This window comes from Homo sapiens, chromosome 10, assembly GCF_000001405.40.
Source record: "Homo sapiens chromosome 10, GRCh38.p14 Primary Assembly".
Taxonomy (NCBI): domain Eukaryota; kingdom Metazoa; phylum Chordata; class Mammalia; order Primates; family Hominidae; genus Homo; species Homo sapiens.
This window is the reverse complement of record NC_000010.11, coordinates 6815687-6840374: the sequence shown is the minus strand read 5'-3', so window position 1 is coordinate 6840374 and position 24688 is coordinate 6815687. Positions and strand designations below refer to the sequence as shown.

General features: G+C 38.9%; 2 long non-coding RNA genes across 5 annotated transcripts in view, besides 2 other annotated features; one reads left to right on the top strand and one right to left on the bottom strand.

Annotated features, from left to right (window-relative positions):
• LOC105376387 (uncharacterized) overlaps positions 1–16105 on the top strand; it is a 294200-nt gene extending 278095 nt beyond the window's left edge. For 3 of the 4 annotated variants that reach the window (NR_188183.1, NR_188186.1, NR_188185.1), the window contains 2 exons: positions 13160–13437; positions 14438–16105. This is a non-coding gene — a long non-coding RNA (uncharacterized LOC105376387). Of the gene's footprint in view, positions 1–13159; positions 13438–13672; positions 13765–14437 lie in introns of all 4 variants that reach the window. The other variant, NR_188184.1, reaches the window with a different exon arrangement.
• LINC00707 (long intergenic non-protein coding RNA 707) overlaps positions 1–24688 on the bottom strand; it is a 63309-nt gene that overhangs the window by 2532 nt on the left and 36089 nt on the right. Inside the window, exons 3-4 of the long non-coding RNA NR_038291.1 lie at positions 6687–6732; positions 2367–2401 (exon numbers count right to left, since the gene is read on the bottom strand). This is a non-coding gene — a long non-coding RNA (long intergenic non-protein coding RNA 707). The remainder of the gene's footprint in view (positions 1–2366; positions 2402–6686; positions 6733–24688) is intronic.
• Positions 6645–7144: an enhancer, noted in NCBI's record as "NANOG-H3K27ac hESC enhancer chr10:6875193-6875692 (GRCh37/hg19 assembly coordinates)". NCBI's record gives its function as "activates a minimal SCP1, AML or CMV promoter by ChIP-STARR-seq in naive H9 embryonic stem cells {active_cell/tissue: H9 hESC(naive)}" and the evidence as "EXISTENCE:reporter gene assay evidence [ECO:0000049][PMID:30033119]".
• Positions 7145–7646: an enhancer, noted in NCBI's record as "NANOG-H3K27ac hESC enhancer chr10:6874691-6875192 (GRCh37/hg19 assembly coordinates)". NCBI's record gives its function as "activates a minimal SCP1, AML or CMV promoter by ChIP-STARR-seq in naive H9 embryonic stem cells {active_cell/tissue: H9 hESC(naive)}" and the evidence as "EXISTENCE:reporter gene assay evidence [ECO:0000049][PMID:30033119]".

Below are 24688 nucleotides of genomic sequence, written 5' to 3'. Positions count from 1 at the left end.
AACAAACATGAGATTTAGCCCAAAAAAGAAAATGTGAGTCATCAGTATCTGGTGGAAATTGAAATGATGCAATTCTGAGGGAGAGATACCAAGGACAGAGCCAAGGAGGAACCTCTCCCCAGGATGCATCGCTTGAGGTCGGGATAGAAGCAGAACAGCCTTCAGGGAGGCTGAAAAGACACCGCGGCGAGGTGGAGGAAACCAGCAGGTGCGGCTTTGGGACACCCAAGGCAGGAGGGAAATGATGGATGACGAATGCCAACAGGGGTTATAGCCAAGTGAAACAAGGCTGCAAGCACACATGTGAATTGATAACCCAGTTTTCTCAGCTTGCTAAGGGTAATGAGGCAGTGGGGTGAGCAGTCAATGGAATAAGAACCAAACAGCAAATAAGAAAGTTAAAAAAAAAAAAAAAGGAATTTCTCAAACTGAGGGCTATAGGCCTTAGGAAGTCAAGGTTATTTCATTCAATCAATAAAACGATAATTCCCGAGCACCTACTATGTTCTACACATTGATCTAGAATCTGGAAATTTTGTGTTCACTCTAGGTGGAGACACAGACAATAAACAAGTGAACAAATTCATAACACAATGTAAAGGACTGACTAGAGCTAGGAAGGACATAAGGCCGTAAAAGGAATTAATATGGCTGGGGGTGATGTAGTCATATTAAAATATCTAAATCATTTACAGAAAGAAAAACCCAATATTACAAAGGTATTAACCCTGCCTACAACCAATCTATAAATTCAGTGCAATCCTATTCAAAATCCCAACATACTTCTGGGGGAAAACTTGACTAACTAAAATAAATGTGCTAACTAAAACACAAAGAGGGGAAAATAGCCTTAACAGATGTGAAAATGTATGATAAAGTTACTATGCTTTGCCGTAGCCACAGGGCCGTAATCTATGAAACGGAACTGGAAGACCCGTATGTATAAAAGAAATAAGAAAATGAAAAAGACGGCATTTTAGATCATTGAAGAAAGGATAGCTCATTCCAGAAATGATCCTGAGTTAATTGCCAATCTGTGCAGAAGAAAAAAAGTTATAGGCACTCTACCACCCTGATTCCTATCATTCGCCAAAATAAATACCAGTTGAAATAGAGGCAAAATTGTAAAAGAGGTGAAAATGTGAGAAAATATGTAAAAAGTAGAGAAGTTCTTAAACAGGCCATAACCATAAATTTTAAAAAGCAAGAGGCCATAAAAAATAAAAAGTAAAAATATAGAGGAAAATATTTCTAAATTAGACCCAATTAAAATTATGTAGAGTAGAGACAGTAGAGATAAAGCCCAAAGACAGGTACCCATTGGGAAGTATTAACGTCTGGAGATACTCAAGTTGCTGTTATCTCAACACAAGCTGAAAAAGACAGGAAACTCTGAAAATTGGGAGAGTGAGCTAAACTTAAGTCACAAGAGATATGGAGGCCCCGGACCAGGGCCACATGGATTACCAAGAGAAAACCACATGGGCAAGAATTTGGAAAGAGGCAATGGCAGAAAAACAGATAAAATTAGATCAAGAGCATCTTTCTGATCAATTGCTTCCTCCACAAGCCCATGTCAGGCTCTTCTTTATGGAGCAGCAGATTTGTGATGTGTGGATGGATCTGGGGGATTTCAGGGACAGGGCAGGATAGATGTGTGCAAGGTGCTGGCTTTCCCCAAGTAACCCTACGTTATGGCCCCACCATCCCAAAGGCCATTACCATGAAGAAGGCTTACTGGAGAGTTGACTGGTGGTTAGAAATTGGGGTTGCATGGTTTTAGATGCTAAGCTGGCTCCTTGACTAAACTACAAGCAACTTGAAAGCATGAATAGTGTCTTACATATGTTCCCAGGTCCTTCCATAATTTGGGATGCATTAAGCACTTAGTAAGCACTAGTTGAATAAAGGGGCAAATGAACACGGGAACCCCAGCATCCAATCCCTGCTTAACTCTTAAGGTATCTGGAACCTTGGGCAGTCGTGCAGGTCCCTTCCCTTTGACATGGCACCACCTGAAGGACAGTTTTAAAATGACAGCTGAAGCCTCTGAATATTTCCATGGAGTTGGTACTGCCAATTATAGCATCATCCAGGCTGCCCCTTTCTCATTTGCAGACATAGCACAGCACTGACTTGGAAAGATGTCAGTGGTGGAGAAGCTGACTCCACCTGTCAATGCCTGTCTCTGTGCACAGACAGGACTCCACAGCTCTGCATGTGCTAAGACCCAGTGTGGCGGAAGGAACTGCTGTTTGTTGTTTTTCTTCAGTAAAATGGTATGGGGGATATTCTTTGCTATGTTAGACTTAAGAGGTTGATCCCATATCTGGCAGATGGCATTCTCCAAAGGCGAAGCAACACACCTGAAGGTAATGTTCCAGTCCAGTCTCATAGTGATCTGAAGAAGAAGATAACTGGAATCAGGAGGTGTGGTGATTTACCAAATGAGCAGGTGTAGACTTTGAAAATCACTGATTTTAGAGTACATGACATTGCTATATGACAAGTTGACTATAATGATGTATTTGATTAGAAATAATCTTGCCAAAAGCAATTTGATCAATATTAATTACTTAGAAAACAAACTAAGAAATTGTAGAACTAGATAAAAAAATTCCATCTCCATATTTATATAAATATATTTATATACATATATTTATATAAAAATATATATATTTATATGTATATTTATATAAATATACATATATTTATACATATATTGATATATTTATATATACATTTATATATATAAATATATGTACACATTTATATATGTATACATTTTTATATAAATATATGTACATTTATATATTTCTACATTTATGTTTATATAAATGTACGTATACTTATACATTTATATATTTATATCAATGTACGTATATTTATATATTTATATATATTTATACCAATGTACGTATATTTATATATCTATATAAATATACCTGTATGTTATATAGGTATATTTACATATACGTATATGTTATGTAGGTATATTTATATAACATATTTAATATAACATATTTAATATATATACACATATTTACATATTTATATAAATATACATATATGTTATATGGGTATACTTACAAAACATGTTATATGGGTATATTAACATGTTATCTGGGTGGATTTACATAACATATGCTATATAGGTATATTTACATATACATACATGTTAAATATGCATATATGGATATTTACATATACATATATGTATATGTAAATATCCATATACCCATAACATATGTTATATATACCCATGTCTGTAAATATGCCCATAACATGTGTTATACATATATGTATATATGCTATATGTACATATGCATACATATGTATATTATATACATGTATATAATATACATGTGTATATATGCATACATATATATGCATACATATATACGCATACATATATACATATATTTACATGCATAGACATATCTATACATATATACATCCATAAATGCATATATATGTATATACATATATATGCATATATGTGTATACATGTACATGCATAAATGTATGCATATACATATATGTCTATACATATGTATATACATATGCATATATATGTATACATATGTATATACATATGCATATATACATGTATGTATATGTACATATATAATATAGGTATATGCATGTATGTATACATATGTGTACATGTGTATGCATGTATACATATGCATATACATACATGCATATGTATACATATATGTATGTATACATACATATATGTAGACATATATACATGCATATACCTATATTATATATGTACATATACATACATGTATATATATGCATATACATACATCTATATGTACATATATGTATATACATATGTATATCCACATATATACATGTATATGCCTGTATAGATGTATATATGTATAGCGTAAATATATGTATATTTACATATGCATATATACATATGTATGTATACATACATATGTACATGTATATAAATATATATGTATAGTATATATACGTATAACATGTTATGGGTATATGGGTATTATTTACATATATGTAAATATACCTATATAGTATATATGTTTTGTAAATCTACCCAGATAATGTATACATATATGTATACATCTATACGTATACATATATACATTGACATATATACACGTTATATATACATATATAACGTGTATATATAATACATATCTATATATAACATGTACATATTTGTACATGTAAATATACCCATATATTTACATATACCATATAACCTATGTTATATATACATATATGTAAATATACCCATATAACCTATGTATAAATATATCCATATAAAATTATATGTATATATAAATATAACTATATAACATGTTATGTAAATCTACCTATATAACATGTTATATACCTATATAACATATATGTATAAATATACCTACATTACATATATGTTATATAGGTATATTTATATATTAAATGTAGCTGTATAATATATATGTATATGTAAATATACCTATATAACATATATGTGTATGTAAATATACATATATAACATGTATATTTATATAAATATATGTATTATATTATGTTGTATAAATATACCTATATAACATGTATATGTAAATATACGTATATAACATATATTATATAAATATAACATGCGTTATATAAATATAATATATACCTATATAACATATACCTATATGACACATCTGTTAGGTAAATATACCTATATACCTATAGGTATATATACCTATATACCTATAGGTATATATACCTATATACCTATATACCTAAATATACCTATAGGTATATTTATTTACCTATATACCTATAGGTATATTTACCTATATACCTATAGGTATATTTACCTATATACCTATAGGTATATTTACCTATATACCTATAGGTATATTTACCTATATACCTATAGGTATATTTACCTATATACCTATAGGTATATTTACCTATATACCTATAGGTATATTTACCTATATACCTATAGGTATATTTACCTATATACCTATAGGTATATTTACCTATATACCTATAGGTATATTTACCTATATACCTATAGGTATATTTACCTATATACCTATAGGTATATTTACCTATATACCTATAGGTATATTTACCTATATACCTATAGGTATATTTACCTATATACCTATAGGTATATTTACCTATATACCTATAGGTATATTTACCTATATACCTATAGGTATATTTACCTATATACCTATAGGTATATTTACCTATATACCTATAGGTATATTTACCTATATACCTATAGGTATATTTACCTATATACCTATAGGTATATTTACCTATATACCTATAGGTATATTTACCTATATACCTATAGGTATATTTACCTATATACCTATAGGTATATTTACCTATATACCTATAGGTATATTTACCTATATACCTATAGGTATATTTACCTATATACCTATAGGTATATTTACCTAACAGATATGTTATATAGGTATATGTTATATTTATATAACATATATTTACTATATTTAAAATCCAATATATCAAATATAAATATATGTATATTTGGTATGTATCCAATATCCCAAATACACATATATTTATGGTATATTGGATATATTTATGGTATATTGGATTTTCCTCAACCTGTTGTGCATTTTTAAATATTTTCAAGTGAGAAAATGCTTTGGAAATTATGGCATTCTGGCAAATACCAAAAAATGTTTATTGCCAGATGATGCTCAAAGATAAAGAAACACATTAAAGCGTAGAAGAAAAGGAGAAATTAAGAATCAAAAAAATAAAAAATTTTGTCTACGGGAAAGAATATAGAAGAGTAATATTAAGACCACACACACACACACACACAGCAGGTTTGCAGATTTTTTCATTGGACATTTTTTTGCTTTATCTGTATTTGGTAGTTCTTCCAATAATCTAGTAAGGAAATGGACAGTTTCATTTACCTTATTTTAGAAATGAGAATAATGAAGGGTATGGAGTAAGCAACTTGCACTTTATACAGTTTTTAAGCACCAGACTTGAACTTATGTCCTTCACTATTCCTTCTATTGTATCATTCCAGATCTCCAAAATGGAAAAAGAACTAAACCAGAAGTCTGGACATTTGAATTTATGTCCTGGGTGTCTCTAAATAGAATACTTAACAGTACTTTTCTGGGCTCCTTACTTTCATTTGTCAGATATGGGAATAGAACTATTAGTATTTTGCAAAAATGTTTGGTAGCAAGAAACATTTCACACTGTGATACACACATGTAGCTGAAATGAAAGATTGCAAAACTCTGATATTTTTCTGGTCTAATCTATATTTTCTAAATGTTGGCCACGACCCATTAAATAGATTTCATGACCCACGAATTCATTACAGTTTTGGACTAGATAGATGAGCTCTTTTCCAACTCTCTTATCATATAGTTCTACATGTCTAGAGTGAATTTCTGGGACCAGGCCAAACTCACGGGTAGAAAAAGTACACATTTTGTTTGGAGAGATTGTCAACCCATCTGAGTCACTGCAGTTGATAAGAAAAATCAAAAGCACTCCACAGAGGTAACAAAATCACAGCAGGAGAAAACCAGCTTGCCTACTATCAACCTTCTCCAGCCCAACTCCCACACAAGCCACTGGGTCATCCAATCCAGTTCAAAGCAGTGACTTTCAAATAAGAGGGCTTAATAAAAATGCTGATGCATTACCTGCAGATACTCGTGATTTTATTTTTGAGATGCTTTCAGTATCATTCTGTGGGGAAAAGAAAGAGAGATCAGATTGTTACTGTGTCTGTATAGAAAGAAGCAGACATAGGAGACTCCATTTTGTTCTGTATTAAGAAAAATTCTTCTGCCTTGAGATGCTGTTAATCTATAACCTTACCCCCAACCCCAGGCTCTCTGAAACACATGCTGTGTCAACTCAGGGTTAAATGGATTAAGGGCTGTGCAGGATGTGCTTTGTTAAACAGATGCTTGAAGGCAGCATGCTCCTTAAGAGTCATCACCACGCCCTAATCTCAACTACCCAGGGATACAAACACTGCAGAAGGCCACAGGGACCTCTGCCTAGGAAAGCCAGGTATTGTCCAAGGTTTCTCCCCATGTGATAGTCTGAAATATGGCCTCGTGGGAAGGGAAAGACCTGACCGTCCCGCAGCTCGACACCCGTAAAGGGTCTGTGCTGAGGAGGATTAGTATAAGAGGAAGGCATGCCTCTTTGCAGTTGAGACAAGAGGAAGGCATCTGTCTCCTGCCTGTCCCTGGGCAATGGAATGTCTCGGTATAAAACCCAATTGTATGTTCCATCTACTGAGATAGGGGAAAACCGCCTTAGGGCTGGAGGTGGGACATGTGGGCAACAATACTGCTCTGTAAGGCATTGAGATGTTTATGTGTATGCATATCTAAAGCACAGCACTTAATTCTTTACCTTGTCTATGATGCAGAGACCTTTGTTCACCTGTTTATCTGCTGACCTTCTCTCCACTATTATCCTATGACCCTGCCACATCCCCCTCTCTGAGAAACACCCAAAAATGATCAATAAATACTAAGGGAACTCAGAGGCTGGCGGGATCCTCCGTATGCTGAATGCTGGTCCTCTGGGCCCCCTTATTCCTTTCTCTATACTTTGTCTCTGTGTCTTTTTCTTTTCCAAGTCTCTTGTTCTACCTAACAAGAAACACCCACAGGTGTGGAGGGGCAACCCACCCCTTCATCTGGTGCCCAATGTGGGGGCTTTTCTCTAGGGTGAAGGTACGCTCGAGCATGGTCATTGAGGACAAGTCGACGAGAGATCCCGAGTACGTCTACAGTCAGCCTTACAGTGCGCTCGGACGAAGCTAGGGTGACAATGGGGCAAATTAAAGGAAAACTAAAAATAAATATGCCTTTTATCTCAGCTTTATTAAAATTCTTTTAAAAAGAGTGGGAGTTAGAGTATCTACAAAAAATCTAATCAAGCTATTTCAAACAATAGAACAATTTTGCCCATGGTTTCCAGAACAAGGAACTTTAGATCTAAAAGAAGACTGGAAAAGAATTGGCAAGGAACTAAAGCAGGTAGGAAGGGTAATATCATTCCACTTACAGTATGGAATGATTGGGCCATTATTAAAGCAGCTTTAGAACGATTTCAAAGAGAAGAAGATAGTGTTTCAGTTTCTGATGCCCCTGGAAGCTGTGTAATAGATTGTAAAGACAAGACAGGGAAAAAATCCCAGAAAGAAACGGAAAGTTTACATTGCGAATATGTAGCAGAGCCAGTAATGGCTCAGTCAACGCAAAATGTTGACTATAATCAATCAATTACAGGGGGTGATATATCCTGAAACATTAAAATTAGAAGGAAAAGGTCCAGAATTAGTGGGGCCATCAAAGTCTAAACCACGAGGACCAAGTCCTCTTCCAGTAGGTCAGATGCCCGTAACATTACAACCTCAAACGCAGGTTAGAGAAAATAAGACCCAACTACCAGTAGCTTATCAATACTGGCCACCGGCCAAACTTCAGTATCGGCCACCCCCAGAAAGTCAGTATGGATATCCAGGAACGCTCCCAGCACCACAGGGCAGGGCGCCATACCCTCAGCCACCCACTAGCAGACTTAATCATACGGCACCACCTAGTAGACAGGGTAGTGAATTACATGAAATTATTGATAAGTCAAGAAAGGAAGGAGACACTGAGGCGTGGCAATTCCCAGTAACGTTAGAACCGATACCACCTGGAGAAGGAGCCCAAGAGGGAGAGCCTCTCACAGTTGAGGCCAGATACAAGTCTTTTTCGATAAAAATGCTAAAAGATATGAAAGAGGGAGTAAAACACTATGGACCCAACTCCCCTTATATGAGGACATTATTAGATTCCATTGCTCATGGACATCATAGACTCATTCCTTATGATTGGGAGATTCTGGCAAAATCGTCTCTCTCACCCTCTCAATTTTTACAATTTAAGACTTGGTGGATTGATGGGGCACAAGAACAGGTCTGAAGAAATAGGGCTGCCAATCCTCCAGTTAACAAAGATGCAGATCAACTGTTAGGAACAGGTCAAAATTGGAGCACTATTAGTCAACAAGCATTAATGCAAAATGAGGCCATTGAGCAAGTTAGAGCTATCTGCCTTAGAGCCTGGGAAAAAATCCAAGACCCAGGAACCGCCTGCCCCTCATTTCATACAGTAAGACAAGGTTTGAAAGAGCCCTACCCTGATTTTGTGGCAAGGTTCCAAGATGTTGCTCAAAAGTCAATTGCTGATGAAAAAGCCCGTAAGGTCATAGTGGAGTTGATGGCATACGAAAACGCCAATCCTGAGTGTCAATCAGCCATTAAGCCATTAAAAGGAAAGGTTTCCACAGGATCAGATGTAATCTCAGAGTATGTAAAAGCCTGTGATGGAATTGGAGGAGCTATGCATAAAGCTAAGCTTATGGCTCAAGCAATAGTGGGAGTTGTTTTAGAAGGACAAGTTAGAACATTTGGAGGGAAATGTTATAATTGTGGTCAAATTGGTCATTTAAAAAAGAATTGCCCAGTCTCAAATAAACAGAATATAACTATTCAAGCGACTACAACAACAGGTAGAGAGCCACCAGACTTATGTCCAAGATGTAAAAAAGGAAAACATTGGGCTAGTTAATGTCATTCTAAATTTGATAGAAATGGGCAACCATTGTCAGGAAACGAGCAAAGGGGCCAGCCTCAGGCCCCACAACAAACTGGGGCATTCCCAATTCAGCCCTTTGTTCCTCAGGGTTTTCAGGGACAACAACCCCCACTGTCCCAAGTACCTCAGGGAATAAGCCAGTTACCACAATACAACAATTGTCCCCCGCCACAAGTGGCAGTGCAGCAGTAGATTTATGTACTATACAAGCAGTCTCTCTGCTTCCAGGGGAGCCCCCACAAAAAATCCCCACAGGGTTATATGGCCTGCTGCCTGAGGGTACTGTAGGACTAATCTTGGGAAGATCAAGTATAAATCTAAAGGGAGTTCAAATTCATACTTGTGTGGTTGATTCAGACTATAAAGGCAAAATTCAATTGGTTATTAGCTCTTCAATTCCTTGGAGTGCCACTCCAGGAGACAGGATTTTTCCATTTTTACTCCTGCCTTATATTAAGGTTGGAAATAGTGAGATAAAAAGAACAGGAGGGTTTGGAAGCACTGTTCCAACAGGAAAGGCTGCATACTGGGCAAGTCAGATCTCAGAGAACAGACCTGTGTGTAAGGCCATTATTCAAGGAAAACAGTTTGAAGGGTTGGTAGACACTGGGGCAGATGTCTCTATCATTGCTTTAAATCAGTGGCCAAAAAATTGGCCTAAACAAAAGGCTGTTACGGGACTTGTCGGCGTAGGCACAGCCTCAGAAGTGTATCAAAGTACTGAGATTTTACATTGTTTAGGGCCAGATAATCAAGAAAGTACTGTTCAGCCAATGATTACTTCAACTCCTCTTAATCTGTGGGGTCAAGATTTATTACAACAATGGGGTGTGGAAATCACCATGCCCGCTCCATTATATAGCCCCACGAGTCAAAAAATCATGACCAAGATGGGATATATACCAGGAAAGGGACTAGGAAAAAATGAAGATGGCATTAAAGTTCCAGTTGAGGCTAAAATAAATCAAGAAAGAGAAGGAATTAGGGTATCCTTGTTAGGGGCGGCCACTGTAGAGCCTCCTAAACCCATACCATTAACTTGGAAAACAGAAAAACCAGTATGGGTAAATCAGTGGCCGCTACCAAAACAAAAACTGGAGGCTTTACATTCATTAGCAAATGAACAGTTCAAAAAGGGACATATTGAGCCTTCATTCTCGCCTTGGAATTCTCCTGTGTTTGTAATTCAGAAGAAATCCAGCAAATGGTGTATGTTAACTGACTTAAGGGCCGTAAATGCCGTAAATCAACCCATGGGGCCTCTCCAACCCGGATTGCCCTCTCTGGCCATGATCCCAAAGACTGGCCTTTAATTATAATTGATCTAAAGGACTGCTTTTTTACCATCCCTCTGGCGGAGCAGGATTGCGAAAAATTTGCCTTTACTATACCAGCCATAAATAATAAAGAACCAGCCACCAGGTTTCAGTGGAAAGTGTTACCTCAGGGAATGCTTAATAGTCCAACTATTTGTCAGACTTTTGTAGGTCGTGCTCTTTAACCAGTTAGAGACAAGTTTTCAGACTGTTATTCATTATATTGATGATATTTTGTGTGCTGCAGAAACAAGAGATAAATTAATTGACTTATACATTTCTGCAAGCAGAGGTTGCCAACGCAGGACTGGCAATAGCATCTGATAAGACTCAAACCTCTACTCCTTTTCATTATTTAGGGATGCAGATAGAGAATAGAAAAATTAAGCCACAAAAAATAGAAATAAGAAAAGACACATTAAAAACACTAAATGATTTTCAAAAATTGCTGGGAGATATTAATTGGATTCGGCCAACTCTAGGCATTCCTACTTATGCCATGTCAAATTTGTTCTCTATCTTAAGAGGAGACTCAGACTTAAATAGTAAGAGAATGTTAACCCCAGAGGCAACAAAAGAAATTAAATTAGTGGAAGAAAAAATTCAGTCAGCGCAAATAAATAGAACAGATCCCTTAGCCCCACTCCAACTTTTGATTTTTGCTACTGCACATTCTCCAACAGGCATCATTATTCAAAATACTGATCTTGTGGAGTGGTCATTCCTTCCTCACAGTACAGTTAAGACTTTTACATTGTACTTGGATCAAATAGCCACATTAATTGGTCAGACAAGATTATGAATAATAAAATTATGTGGAAATGACCCAGACAAAATAGTTGTCCCTTTAACCAAGGAACAAATTAGACAAGCCTTTATCAATTCTGGTGCATGGCAGATTGGTCTTGCTAATTTTGTGGGAATTATTGATAATCATTACCCGAAAACAAAAATCTTCCAGTTTTTAAAACTGACTACTTGGATTCTACCTAAAATTACCAGATGGGAACTTTTAGAAAATGTTCTAACAGTATTTACTGATGGTTCCAGCAATGGAAAAGTGGCTTACACAGGGCCGAAAGAATGAGTAATCAAAACTCCATATCAATCGGCTCAAAGAGCAGAGTTGGTTGCAGTCATTACAGTGTTACAAGATTTTGATCAACCTATCAATATTGTATCAGATTCTGCATATGTAGTACAGGCTACAAGGGATGTTGAGACAGCTCTAATCAAATATAGCATGGATGATCAGTTAAACCAGCTATTCAATTTATTACAACAAACTGTAAGAAAAAGAAATTTCCCATTTTATATTACTCATATTCGAGCACACACTAATTTACCAGGGCCTTTGACTAAAGCAAATGAACAAGCTGACTTACTGGTATCATCTGCATTCATAAAAGCATGAGAACTTCATGCTTTGACTCATGTAAATGCAGCAGGATTAAAAAACAAATTTGATGTCACATGGAAACAGGCAAAAGATATTGTACAACATTGCACCCAGTGTCAAGTCTTACACCTGCCCACTCAAGAGGCAGGAGTTAATCCCAGAGGTCTGCGTCCTAATGCATTATGGCAAATGGATGTCACGCATGTACCTTCATTTGGAAGATTGTCATATGTTCATGTAACAGTTGATACTTATTCACATTTCATATGGGCAGCTTGCGAAACAGGAGAAAGTACTTCCCATGTTAAAAAACATTTATTATCTTGTTTTGCTGTAATGGGAGTTCCAGAAAAAATCAAAACTGACAATGGGCCAGGATATTGTAGTAAAGCTTTCCAAAGATTCTTAAATCGGTGGAAAATTTCACATACAACAGGAATTCCCTATAATTCCCAAGGACAGGCCATAGTTGAAAGAACTAATAGAACACTCAAAACTCAATTAGTTAAACAAAAAGAAGGGGGAGACAGTAAAGAGTGTACCACTCCTCAGATGCAACTTAATCTAGCACTCTATACTTTAAATTTTTTAAACATTTATAGAAATCAGACTACTACTTCTGCAGAACAACATCTTACTGGTAAAAAGAACAGCCCACATGAAGGAAAATTGATTTGGTGGAAAGATAATAAAAATAAGACATGGGAAATAGGGAAGGTGATAACGTGGGGAAGAGGTTTTGCTTGTGTTTCACCAGGAGAAAATCAGCTTCCTGTTTGGATACCCACTAGACATTTGAAGTTCTACAATGAACCCATCGGAGATGCAAAGAAAAGCACCTCCGCGGAGACGGAGACACCGCAATCGAGCACCGTCGAGTCACAAGATGAACAAAATGATGATGTCAGAAGAACAGATGAAGTTGCCATCCACCAATAAGGCAGAGCCGCTGACTTGGGCACAACTAAACAAGCTGACGCAGTTAGCTACAAAATGTCTAGAGAACACAAAGATGACACAAACTCCAGAGAGTATGCTGCTTGCAGCATTGATGATTGTATCAACGGTGGTAAGTCTCCCTATGCCTGCAGGAGCAGCTGCAGCTAATTATACCTACTGGGCATATGTGCCTTTCCCGCCCTTAATTTGGGCAGTCACATGGATGGATAATCCTATAGAAGTATATGTTAATGAGAGTGTATGCGTACCTGGCCCCACAGATGATCGCTGCCCTGCCAAACCTGAGGAAGAAGTGATGATGATAAATATTTCCACTGGGTATCGTTATCCTCCTATTTGCCTAGGGAGAGCACCAGGATGCTTAATGCCTGCAGTCCAAAATTGGTTGGTAGAAGGACCTACTGTCAGTCCCATCAGTAGAATCATTTCTTACATGGTAAGTGGGATGTCACTCAGGCCACGGGTAAATTATTTACAAGACTTTTCTTATCAAAGATCATTAAAGTTTAGACCTAAAGGGAAACCTTGCCCCAAGGAAATTCCCAAAGGATCAAAAAATACAGAAGTTTTAGTTTGGGAAGAATGTGTGGCCAATAGTGCGGTGATATTACAAAACAATGAATTTGGAACTATTATAGATTGGGCACCTTGGGTCAATTCTACCATGATTGCACAGGGCAAACTCAGTCGTGTCCCAGTGCACAAGTGAGTCCAGCTGTTGATAGCGACTTAACAGAAAGTTTAGACAAACATAAGCATAAAAAATTATAGTCTTTCTATCCTTGGGAATGGGGAGAAAAAGGAATCTCTACCCCAAGACCAAAAATAAGAAGTCCTGTTTCTGGTCCTGAACATTGAGAATTATGGAGGCTTACTTAGCCTCATACCACATTAGAATTTGGTCTGGAAATCAAACTTTAGAAACAAGGGATTGTAAGCCATTTTATACTATCGACCTAAATTCCAGTCTAACGGTTCCTTTACAAAGTTGCGTAAAGACCCCTTATATGCTAGTTGTAGGAAATATAGTTATTAAACCAGACTCCCAAACTATAACCTGTGAAAATTGCAGATTGTTTACTTGCATTGATTCAACTTTTATTTGGCAGCACCGTATTCTGCTGGTGAGAGCAAGAGAAGGCATGCGGATCCCTGTGTCCATGGACCAACCGTGGGAGGCCTCGCCATCCGTCCATGTTTTGACTGAAGTATTAAAAGGCATTTTAAATAGATCCAAAAGATTCATTTTTACTTTAATTACAGTGATTATGGGATTAATTGCAGTCACAGCTATGGCTGCTATAGCAGGAGTTGCGTTGCACTCTTCTGTTCAGTCAGTAAACTTTGTTAATGATTGGCAAAAGAATTCTACGAGATTGTGGAATTCGCAATCTGGTATTGATCAAAAAATGGCAAATCAAATTAATGTTCTTAGACAAGCTGTCATTTGGATGGGAGACAGGCTCATGAGCTTAGAACATCGTTTCCAGTTACAGTGTGACTGGAATACGTCAGATTTTTGTATTACACCCCAAGTTTATAATGAGTCTGAGCATCACTGGGACATGGTTAGACGCCATCTACAGGGAAGAGAAGATAATCTCACTTTAGACATTTCCAAATTAAAAGAACAAATTTTTGAAACATCAAAAGCCCATTTAAATTTGGTGCCAGGAACTGAGGCAATCGCAGGAGTTGCTGATGGCCTCGCAAATCTTAACCCTGTCACTTGGGTTAAGACCATCGGAAGTACTATGATTATAAATTTCATATTAATCCTTGTGTGCCTGTTTTGTCTGTTGTTAGTCTGCAGGTGTACCCAACAGCTCTGAAGAGACAGTGACCATTGAGAACGGGCCATGATGACGATGGCTGTTTTGTCGAAAAGAAAAGGGGGAAATGTGGGGAAAAGAAAGACAGATCAGATTGTTACTGTGTCTGCATAGAAAGAAGTAGACACAGGAGACTCCATTTTGTTCTGTATTAAGAAAAATTCTTCTGCTTTGAGATGCTGTTAATCTGTAACCTTACCCCAACCCCGTGCTCTCTGAAACACATGCTGTGTCAACTCAGGGTTAAATGGATTAAGGGCTGTGCAGGATGTGCTTTGTTAAACAGATGCTTGAAGGCAGCATGCTCCTTTAGAGTCATCACCACGCCCTAATCTCAACTACCCAGGGACACAAACACTGCGGAAGGCCACAGGGACCTCTGCCTAGGAAAGCCAGGTATTGTCCAAGGTTTCTCCCCATGTGATAGTCTGAAATATGGCCTCGTGGGAAGGGAAAGACCTGACCGTCCCCCAGCCCAACACCCATAAAGGGTCTGTGCTGAGGAGGATTAGTATAAGAGGAAGGCATGCCTCTTTGCAGTTGAGACAAGAGGAAGGCATCTGTCTCCTGCCCATCCCTGGGCAATGGAATGTCTCGGTATAAAACCCGATTGTATGTTCCATCTACTGAGATAGGGGAAAACCGCCTTAGGGCTGGAGGTGGGACATGTGGGCAACAATACTGCTCTGTAAGGCATTGAGATGTTTATGTGTATGCATATCTAAAGCACAGCACTTAATTCTTTACCTTGTCTATGATGCAGAGACCTTTGTTCACGTGTTTATCTGCTGACCTTCTCTCCATTATTATCCTATGACCCTGCCACATCCCCCTCTCTGAGAAACACCCAAGAATGATCAATAAATACTAAGGGAACTCAGAGGCTGGTGGGATCCTCCGTATGCTGAATGCTGGTCCCCTGGGCCCCCTTATTTCTTTCTCTATACTTTGTCTCTGTGTCTTTTTTCTTTTCCAAGTCTGTCATTCCACCTAATGAGAAACACCCACAGGTGTGGAGGGGCAACCCACCCCTTCATCATTCCAAAATGGTTTTTTGGGATGAGTTAGAAAGGTATTATTATTCCCTTTGCAAAGATTAGAAAACTGAGATGCTAGAAGATTAAATGAATCATCGAACACATGCTTTGGGCAATGTTTTGAATAAATATTTGAAAATATGATTGAATTATGCTGCACATATATAAGGTCAGAGAACAAGTCAACAATAGTAAGAACTGATTTCCTCACTCCAACTCAAGCTCTTGCATCTATACTACACTGTCTGAGTCACACCAAAAGTAAACTCTCAAAAATACCTTTAAGTTGGCCCTCTTTCTAGGTCTGATTTTTAAAAAGCCTTCCAAACACATAAAAAATTTTAAATTGTTGACATGTACATGTGGATATTTATCTTTACACACATACTTTGGCTTTACAAATTTAATTTTTATTTTATATTTGTGTTTGGTACCTTTTAATTGTTTAAAACAGGTGAACCAAACATTGATTTCATTTCTTATAAGTGTGATTTTGCTTCAAGAGGGGAATTTGAAATTATCCTACCAATTTTTCTGATTGCTTTTGCAGTCACACAAATATGGTGTGTGTTTTCTTAAAGACAGTTCTTGGTAGTGCTTATTCTTTTGTTAACTTATTCCAACAATATTTGAGCGCTCTTATGGGCAGGCACTGTGCAGTCTTCTGAGAACACAGAGGTGAATAAAATCTCATTCTTGATGTCTCCAAGGAGTTCATTATCTAATGGTATAGAGAGACACATGAACAAACAATAGAATAAGCTAATAGCAGAGGCAGGAGACAAGTTCTACAGATATAAAGATATTACTTCCCATGGCTATTTTTCCCTGTGAAAAAAATTCACATCTTCTGACGTTGAGTAGAATAACACAGTTGTACAGAAAGTACAACAGGTACATTAAGAAATATAGTCTGTCCTGAAAAACAATTAATATACTAGTAAAATGAGAATACACTAGTTAAATAAAAATGAAGGCTGGTCTTGAACTCCTGGCCATCCTCTCACCTCAGCCTCCTAAAGTGTTGGGATTACAGATGTGAACCACCACACCAGGCCTCAATGGCAATTTTTTTTTTTTCCTGAGACAGAGTTTTGCTCTTGTTGCCCAGGCTGGAGTGCAATGGTGCAATCTTGGCTCACTGCAACCTCTGCCTCTTGGGTTCAAGCGATTCTCCTGCCTCAGCCTCCTGAATAACTGGGATTACAGACACCCGCCCCAACTAATACTTGTATTTTTAGTAGAGATGGGGTTTCACTATGTTGGCCAGGCTGGTCTTGAACTCCTGACCTCGTGATCTGCCCACCTTGGCCTCCCAAAGTGCTGGGATTACAGGAGTGAGCCACCGCACCCCGTCTCATTGGCATTTTTAATGCCTAAACTTGTCATTCTCACCCTAACAATGTTCTCGCGGGTCACCTATAATACCGTTGTATTGGCTTTCCTGATTCAGGTTTTTCTTTCCTCCAAACCATGACCAAATTTACCCTTCCATCACCATGTCGCTGTTACCACCTACAAGGGTTCCTACAAAAGAAGGGGTTAAGCGCCTGGAACTCAAGACCTGCTGTGATGTGGCTCCCAGCACAGTCTTCTCAGGCAGCCAGGACCTCTCCTGCCCCACCTCAACTCCATCTCTACCTCTGTCTATTCAGCAGCAACAGCCCTTACAACTAGATCCACAGCCCCATGCTCCTTGGGAGCTAAAACTGACTTTCCAGGTTGATTATAATCACACCTTCCTTTCATTTTTACAATCTAATTTTGTTTTCTCTCAAAAATTATTTATTTATTTTAATGACATATAATAGTTATACATATTTTTGGGGTACAGGTGATCTTTTGATACCTATATACAATGTGTCATGTTCCACTCAGGGTAATTGAGTTATCAATCACCTCAAACATGTATATTTTGTGTGTGTGTTGGGATCATTACAAATCTTCTCTCCTAGCTACTCTGGAATACGCAATAAGTTATTGTTAGCTATAATTTCTCTACTGGCAACCTAGTGTTTATACATTCTTTCAGACTCACTTCAAACCCTCTCTCTTTTGTAATAGCTTCATGACTCTCCCCACTGCCCCCCCCAGCACATAATTTTTTATCTTCTAGAAATTTTCTTAATCTTATATTCCATACTACAAAAACTAACAATGGATTGCATTCCTCCTTGTGTTTGCTTTACTGGGTGTCTACTTCACCTAAAGATTCTTATGAGATCCAGGTCAGCACGGATTGTGTCTTCTACTTTGTTTTGTGATTAGGATATCTCCTGACATTGTGCTGGGAATACCAGATTTTCCAAACAGACTCTATTTGATGAATAATAATATTTCTGTGTCCTGTTTCTTCCATAACGTCCTTTGCTTTCCTCCCAGAGACATAACCTAAAATGAGAGGAAACAAGCTCAGGTGGTGGCCGGTTCCAAGATGTGAAACTGTAAGGAATCAAAGGCACGAGGCAACACGGCTTTGTGGCCTGGCATTAGCATTCAGTGCAAATAGGGGTAGAATGCCTTCCTTTGTACTTCAGTGCAGTGACCATCCACGTCAAGGGAGGAGACCGAGGACATCCCGCCCATGGTCCAGAGAGCAATGTAGCCCAAACTCAAGAATGAGAATGAACTGGGACAGGGAGAGGGCCAGCTTCACGGTGTACGATGAATGCAGTGTGTGCAGGAGGGACTCACACTTGGTTTAACACTCTGCTGTTGCCATCTTGAAATTCTTAATAGGTTTTTCCCCCCCGCAGACAGGGTCTTACTCTCTTGCCCAGGCTGGAGTGCAATGCTGTCATACCTCACTGCAGCCTTGAATTCCTCCCACCTAAGCCCCTTGAGTATCTGGTGTCTGCCACCATGCCCAGCTAATTTTTTAAGTTTTATCTAGAAACAGGTTCTCACTAAGTTACCCAGGCTGGTCTCCAGCTGAGACTCAAACTCTCTTTTCACCTTGGCCTCCCAAATCACTGAGATTACAGGGGTGAGCCAAGACTTCTGGCCTTAGTAGTTTTCTTTTTTTTTTTTTTCTTTGAAATAGAATCTTGCTCTGTCTCCCAGACTGGAGTGCAGAGGGGTGATCTCGGACCACTGCAGCCTCTGCCTCCTGGGTTCAAATGATTCTCCTGCCTCAGCCTCCTGAGTAGCTGGGATTACAGGCACCCACCATCACACCCGGCTAATATTTGTATTTTTAGTAGAGATAGTGTTTCACCATGTTGGGCAGGCTGGTCTCGAACTCCTGCCTCAAGTGATCCACCCACCTCGGCCTCCAAATGTTCTGGGATTACAGGTGTGAGCCACTGCAACTGGCCATGGCCTTAAGAGTTTTCCTAAACAAGATGTCTACATTTTCATTTTGTACCAGGACCTGAAAATTATGTAGGTGGTCCTGACTCCAGACGCATTCACAACACAAAACGGCCCACGTGAGAGCTCCAGGAACATCTTGGCAGTGGCATTGGGCCTAAAGAGCCACCACTGGACATGACAGAAGAGAAGGGTCCCACACAGTGGCCTGGAAATCTGCATTTGTGAGTGCACATCAGGCACCACCTCAAACCCCAGGAACAAAGGGGGCAGAGTTGAGAGTTGGCTTCCTGCAATTCTGCAGATGGGTGGTGAACAGAAGAAAAACTTTCTGTTATGGTTACTGTAAACCCATAATGTAATCCCTTGGCAATGGCCGCCTGAGGGAAAAATAGACTTCAGTCAAAAAGAAAAAGGAAACTGACGTGAGAGAGAAAAACCATAGCATTCAGAAATAAAATAACTTTGAAAACATTTACTCTCTCAGATATCCAAGGGGGGCTGTTAGAGACAAGACTTATGCCAGACTTACGATCTCCTATATATATGCTAAAAATGTATTGGTATTCTTTTGAAAAAGAAAAGCAAAAGAATTCAAGTATTCACCCAGGAAATAATACAACTAGGTTATTGTGTTTGGGCTCATATAAACACAGAAACACAGAGAAATCAGCACAAACTCCTTTTGCAAACCAGTTAACGTGATTTCGCCAAGGAACCAGCATATCTGAGAGTGTGGCACATACTTGGGTCTCCTTGACTGTTTGCTACATGAGTGAATGAAATCTGGTGATCAGATCAGCAAACTTCCAGAGCCCAGGAAGCTTCCTGAAACCTGTAAGTAGGCAGGAGTAGGAACACACATGGCAGAGGGAAAAACAAAAAGATAAACAAGCCAAGAACCTGTCATTATTCATCAAAACGAGAAAGAGATAAAGGAAATATGGAGGCAAGAAATGCACGTCATTATTATAGCATTGCTAAGATGACTACTGCTGATGGCCAAAGCCCATGGAAGATTTCCCGCGAACGCTTGTAAAAATCACTGCACGTGTGTTAACTGCTTTGATATTTTCACATGAAGTGGAAAATATGATCCATAATTCACAGAAGGAGAAAGCGGACCCACAGAGGGACTTATCCCCTGCCCTCCTTCTCCTCTCCTCAGCCCCAGGGGCCATTAAACTGCCAGAGCCTTTTGTTCTGGGGCTCCCTCAAAAGTGAGATGACCCAAGGTCTGTGCAGATCCACCAGCACACCATTCCACGGTGGAGAGGAACAGAACGGTGGGAGGTGACGCCTTCCTGGATCAGCCTCCTGCTCGTGCCATGCAGTGAGTGACCCAATCTCACAGCGGGGAGGAACAGAAAGTTAGGAGGCTATGCCTTCCCGGATCAGCCTCCTGCTCGTGCCATGCAGTGAGTGACCCAATCTCACAGCGAGGAGGAACAGAAAGTTGGGAGGTGATGCCTTCCCAGGTCAGCCTCCTGTTCATGCCATGACAGCGAGTGACCCAATCCCATGGAGGGAGAAACAGAACGGTGGGAGGTGACACCTTCCCAGGTCACCCTCCTGCTAGTGCCATCACAGTGGGTGGCCCAATCCCACAGGAGGGAGAACAGAACGGTGGGAGGTGAAGCCTTCCCAGGTCACCCTCCTGCAAGTGCCATCACAGTGGGTGACCCAATCCCACAGGATGGACAACAGAATGTTGGGAGGTGACACCTTCCCGGGTCAGCCTCCTGCTCATGACATGACAGTGAGTGACCCAATCCCACGGAGGGAGGAACAGAATGATGGGAGGTGACGCCTTCCTGGGTCAGCACCCTGCTCTGCTCATGCCATCACAGTGGGTGATCCAAGGCTCACCTCCTCTTTCATTCTGGTTTACATTCAATGAACTCCAGCACAGGCAGCTCAGCTCTCTCTCCCACTCAGCTGAGCTCCTGACAGAAGTCAGCTTCATTTTGTTTTTTTGTTGTCCACCTCTAATGAATGCCACATGAGATGAAACAAATGTGCTGTAAATGCCTGAAGGAGGAATCTGTTGAGCTGGCTCAGTCTTTCCTGAAGAAGCTCCATTGCTGGGCTGGGATGCTGCTGCTTGTCTTAAGGTGTCCTGCAAGTTGTGGGAAGAATAAGTGCAGGAACTCCCGGACCAGACTCATTGTCACTGCACAGGTGCTAATTTGTCAGAAGGATACCTGTCATTGGCAGGTGATGCTGGCTTCCTTCAGCCTCTGTGCATAACTGAGATATAATTTAGCAAGAATATCATTTCATCATTTTTGTAACTTAAGTTCCTTTCCCCTGCATGTCAACATCACCAGGGAAGCCTACGGGGCACCAACCTTTGAACAGGGGCTTGGCATAGGTAAACACAGCAAAAAGATACTAGTGGAGCTGAAATTTCTTTTCAAATGAATCAATTGTCTGCCCTTTGACTAAAGATAAACAATTGGCAGAATAACCTAACAAATGAAAAGAGTTTCTCTTTACAATTCTAACTATAAGGGATTATTTTTATTAATTTAAGTCCTTTTCCTTGTTTAATTAAACATGTAAGGCGTACTCATTTTAGAAAAATGTAAAACATAAGTAATAACAATAATAAATTACTTAACATACCACTGCCCAAATTCACCATTGACATTTAACTCTATGAATGTACTTGATTTTTCATTGAATGGGTCATGAACTTCTCTATCAGCTATACATATTTATATATGAAAATATTCTGCTCAATGAATCGTAAATAAGAGACATACATTTGAAATTTAAGCATGCGGCTAAATCTAGAGCACACAGCTGTAAGTTAGAGAAAACTTAATTCACAGCAGTGATTCCCATTGTTTAGAGGAAGGATCCATGCCTGAGAATGCAGATTGTTCATGCCTGGGGCCACTAGTCCACAGAAGAGGTCCTGTCCCTGCTGCCTGTTCCACATTGACCATTCTGGTATGGCTGAAAGAGGCTTATCCCATTAACTGAGGGCAGAATTCAAGGCCCAGTTATCTACATTCTTGCTAACAAAAGTGTTTTGTATTAATTGAAAAAAATGAAACCAAACGTAATTTCTCTAAATGAAGCTCGACATGTATTTAAAGACATGATCTTCGGCTGGGCACAGTGGTTCATGCCTGTAATCCCAGCACTTTGGGAGGCCAAGGCGTGTGGATCACCTGAGGTCAGGAGTTCAAGACAAGCCTGGCCAATATGGTGAAACCCAGTCTCTACTGAAAATACAAAAGTTAGCCAGGCATGGTGGAGAGTGCCTGTAGTCCCAGCTACTCGGAAAGCTGAGGAAGGAGAACTGCTTGAACCTGGGTGGTGGAGGTTACAGTGGGCTGAGATTGCACTACTGCACTCCAGCCTGGGCAACAGAACAAGACTCCATCATGAAAAATAAACTAAAATAAAGACACACTCTTCAGAGATAATCCTGGTTGCCATCTAAAGCAATCTGCCACTTCTCCCCATGTAAGAATGGCAGATACAGGATCTACTCACCCAGCATTGAAAGAAGAAACAAACAACACCTACCATGTATGGAAACATTTTAGGGACAGACCTTATGCCTCATGTTAGAGGCTTTAATATCTCTTACATCATGTAATCATCAATTCTGGGGAAGAGGCATTATTAACACACTATTATAAATAAGATGATTATGGCAGAACTAAGGTAAGTAATAGCTCAGGCAATGTCACACAGCCTCAGGGACAGAGACAGAACTTACTCTGGTGCAGTCTGGCTCCAAGGTCAATGTCTTTCCATAAACTTAACCTGGGCATCCCATTGCTGTAACAGACTCACCCTGAGAGGAAATGAGTGATTATTTACAAAGTAAAGTTGGTGGTAGCTCTTCACTTAACAGTAGCGTGTACGTATCCTCTGTTCTGCTAGTATAAAAGTGCTAGAAAATAAACTGATTCTTGACCGGGCATGGTGGCTCATGCCTGTAACCCCTGCACTTTGGGAAGCCAAGACGGGTGGATCACCTGAGGTCAGGAGTTTGAGACCAGCCTGGCCAACATCGTGAAACCCCGTCTCTACTAAAAACACAAAAATTAGCCAGGCATAGTGGTGGGCACCTGTAACAGCAGCTACTCAGGAGGTTGAGGCAGGAGAATTGCTTGAATGCGGGTGACAGAGGTTGCAGTGAGCCAAGATTACACCACTGCACTCCAGCCTGGGCAACAAAGCAAGACTCTGTCTCAAAAAAAAAAAAAAAAAAAAAAAAAAAAAAAAAAAAAAAAAAAAAAAAAAAAAAAAAAGGAAAGAAAGAAAGAAAGAAAGAAAGAAAAGAAAAAGAAAAAGAAAACAGACTGATTCAGAGTTCAAGCCACTGACCATCCTTGGAGAAAGAGACTTTCTCAGGAACCCCAATAATTAAACACATTAACATCCACCCAAAAGACCCTGAGAAATAAAGAGTCCAAATGCTTTTTTAAAACTTTACCTTATTTCAAAGAATATTATAATTAGAAGAGATCATCTCTATCAAGAGATTTAACTATTTTCATATCCTAGAAATTTAACCTTATGAATTAATAGAAAAAAGTTAAAATATAAATGCCTTCATCAGAGGATTATTTATAATTATAAAAGCAACAATAAGGTACTGTAAACTTTTAACAAGGAACAAATACATATGGTAGAATGCAGACAAATGTCAACAAAACTTGGTTGGAATATAGAAAATATTTATAACATGATATGAAAAACCCAAAGCTGTATTTATAGCCTGAGCTTAAAATGTAAAACAATATGTGTAACAACAGCCTGGAAGAGAAGACACCCAACAGTGGAGCAGGTGTCCTCTCAGGGTGGTGCAATTACAGGTATACTTTTCCCCCTTACACTCCTATGCATATGTTCTTTTTTGCTTTATTAAGCATATATTACATTTAAGAACAGAAAAAACATAAAATTTCAATTTGGAACCACAAGCTGGTCATTTACACCAGTTCTACTCAAACTGTAATATGCGCATGCTCACCTGGGAACTTATTTAAAATTCAGACTCTGATTAAGTTTGAGGCAAATTCTGAGATTCTAGATTTATGTTGATGCTGTGGGTTGGGGACCACAGCTGGAGTGTGGTTTCATGTACAACACACAAGTAAGAATCATTGCAGATCCTCTTAAGTCAGAGGTTTGGAGACCAGAAGCTTCC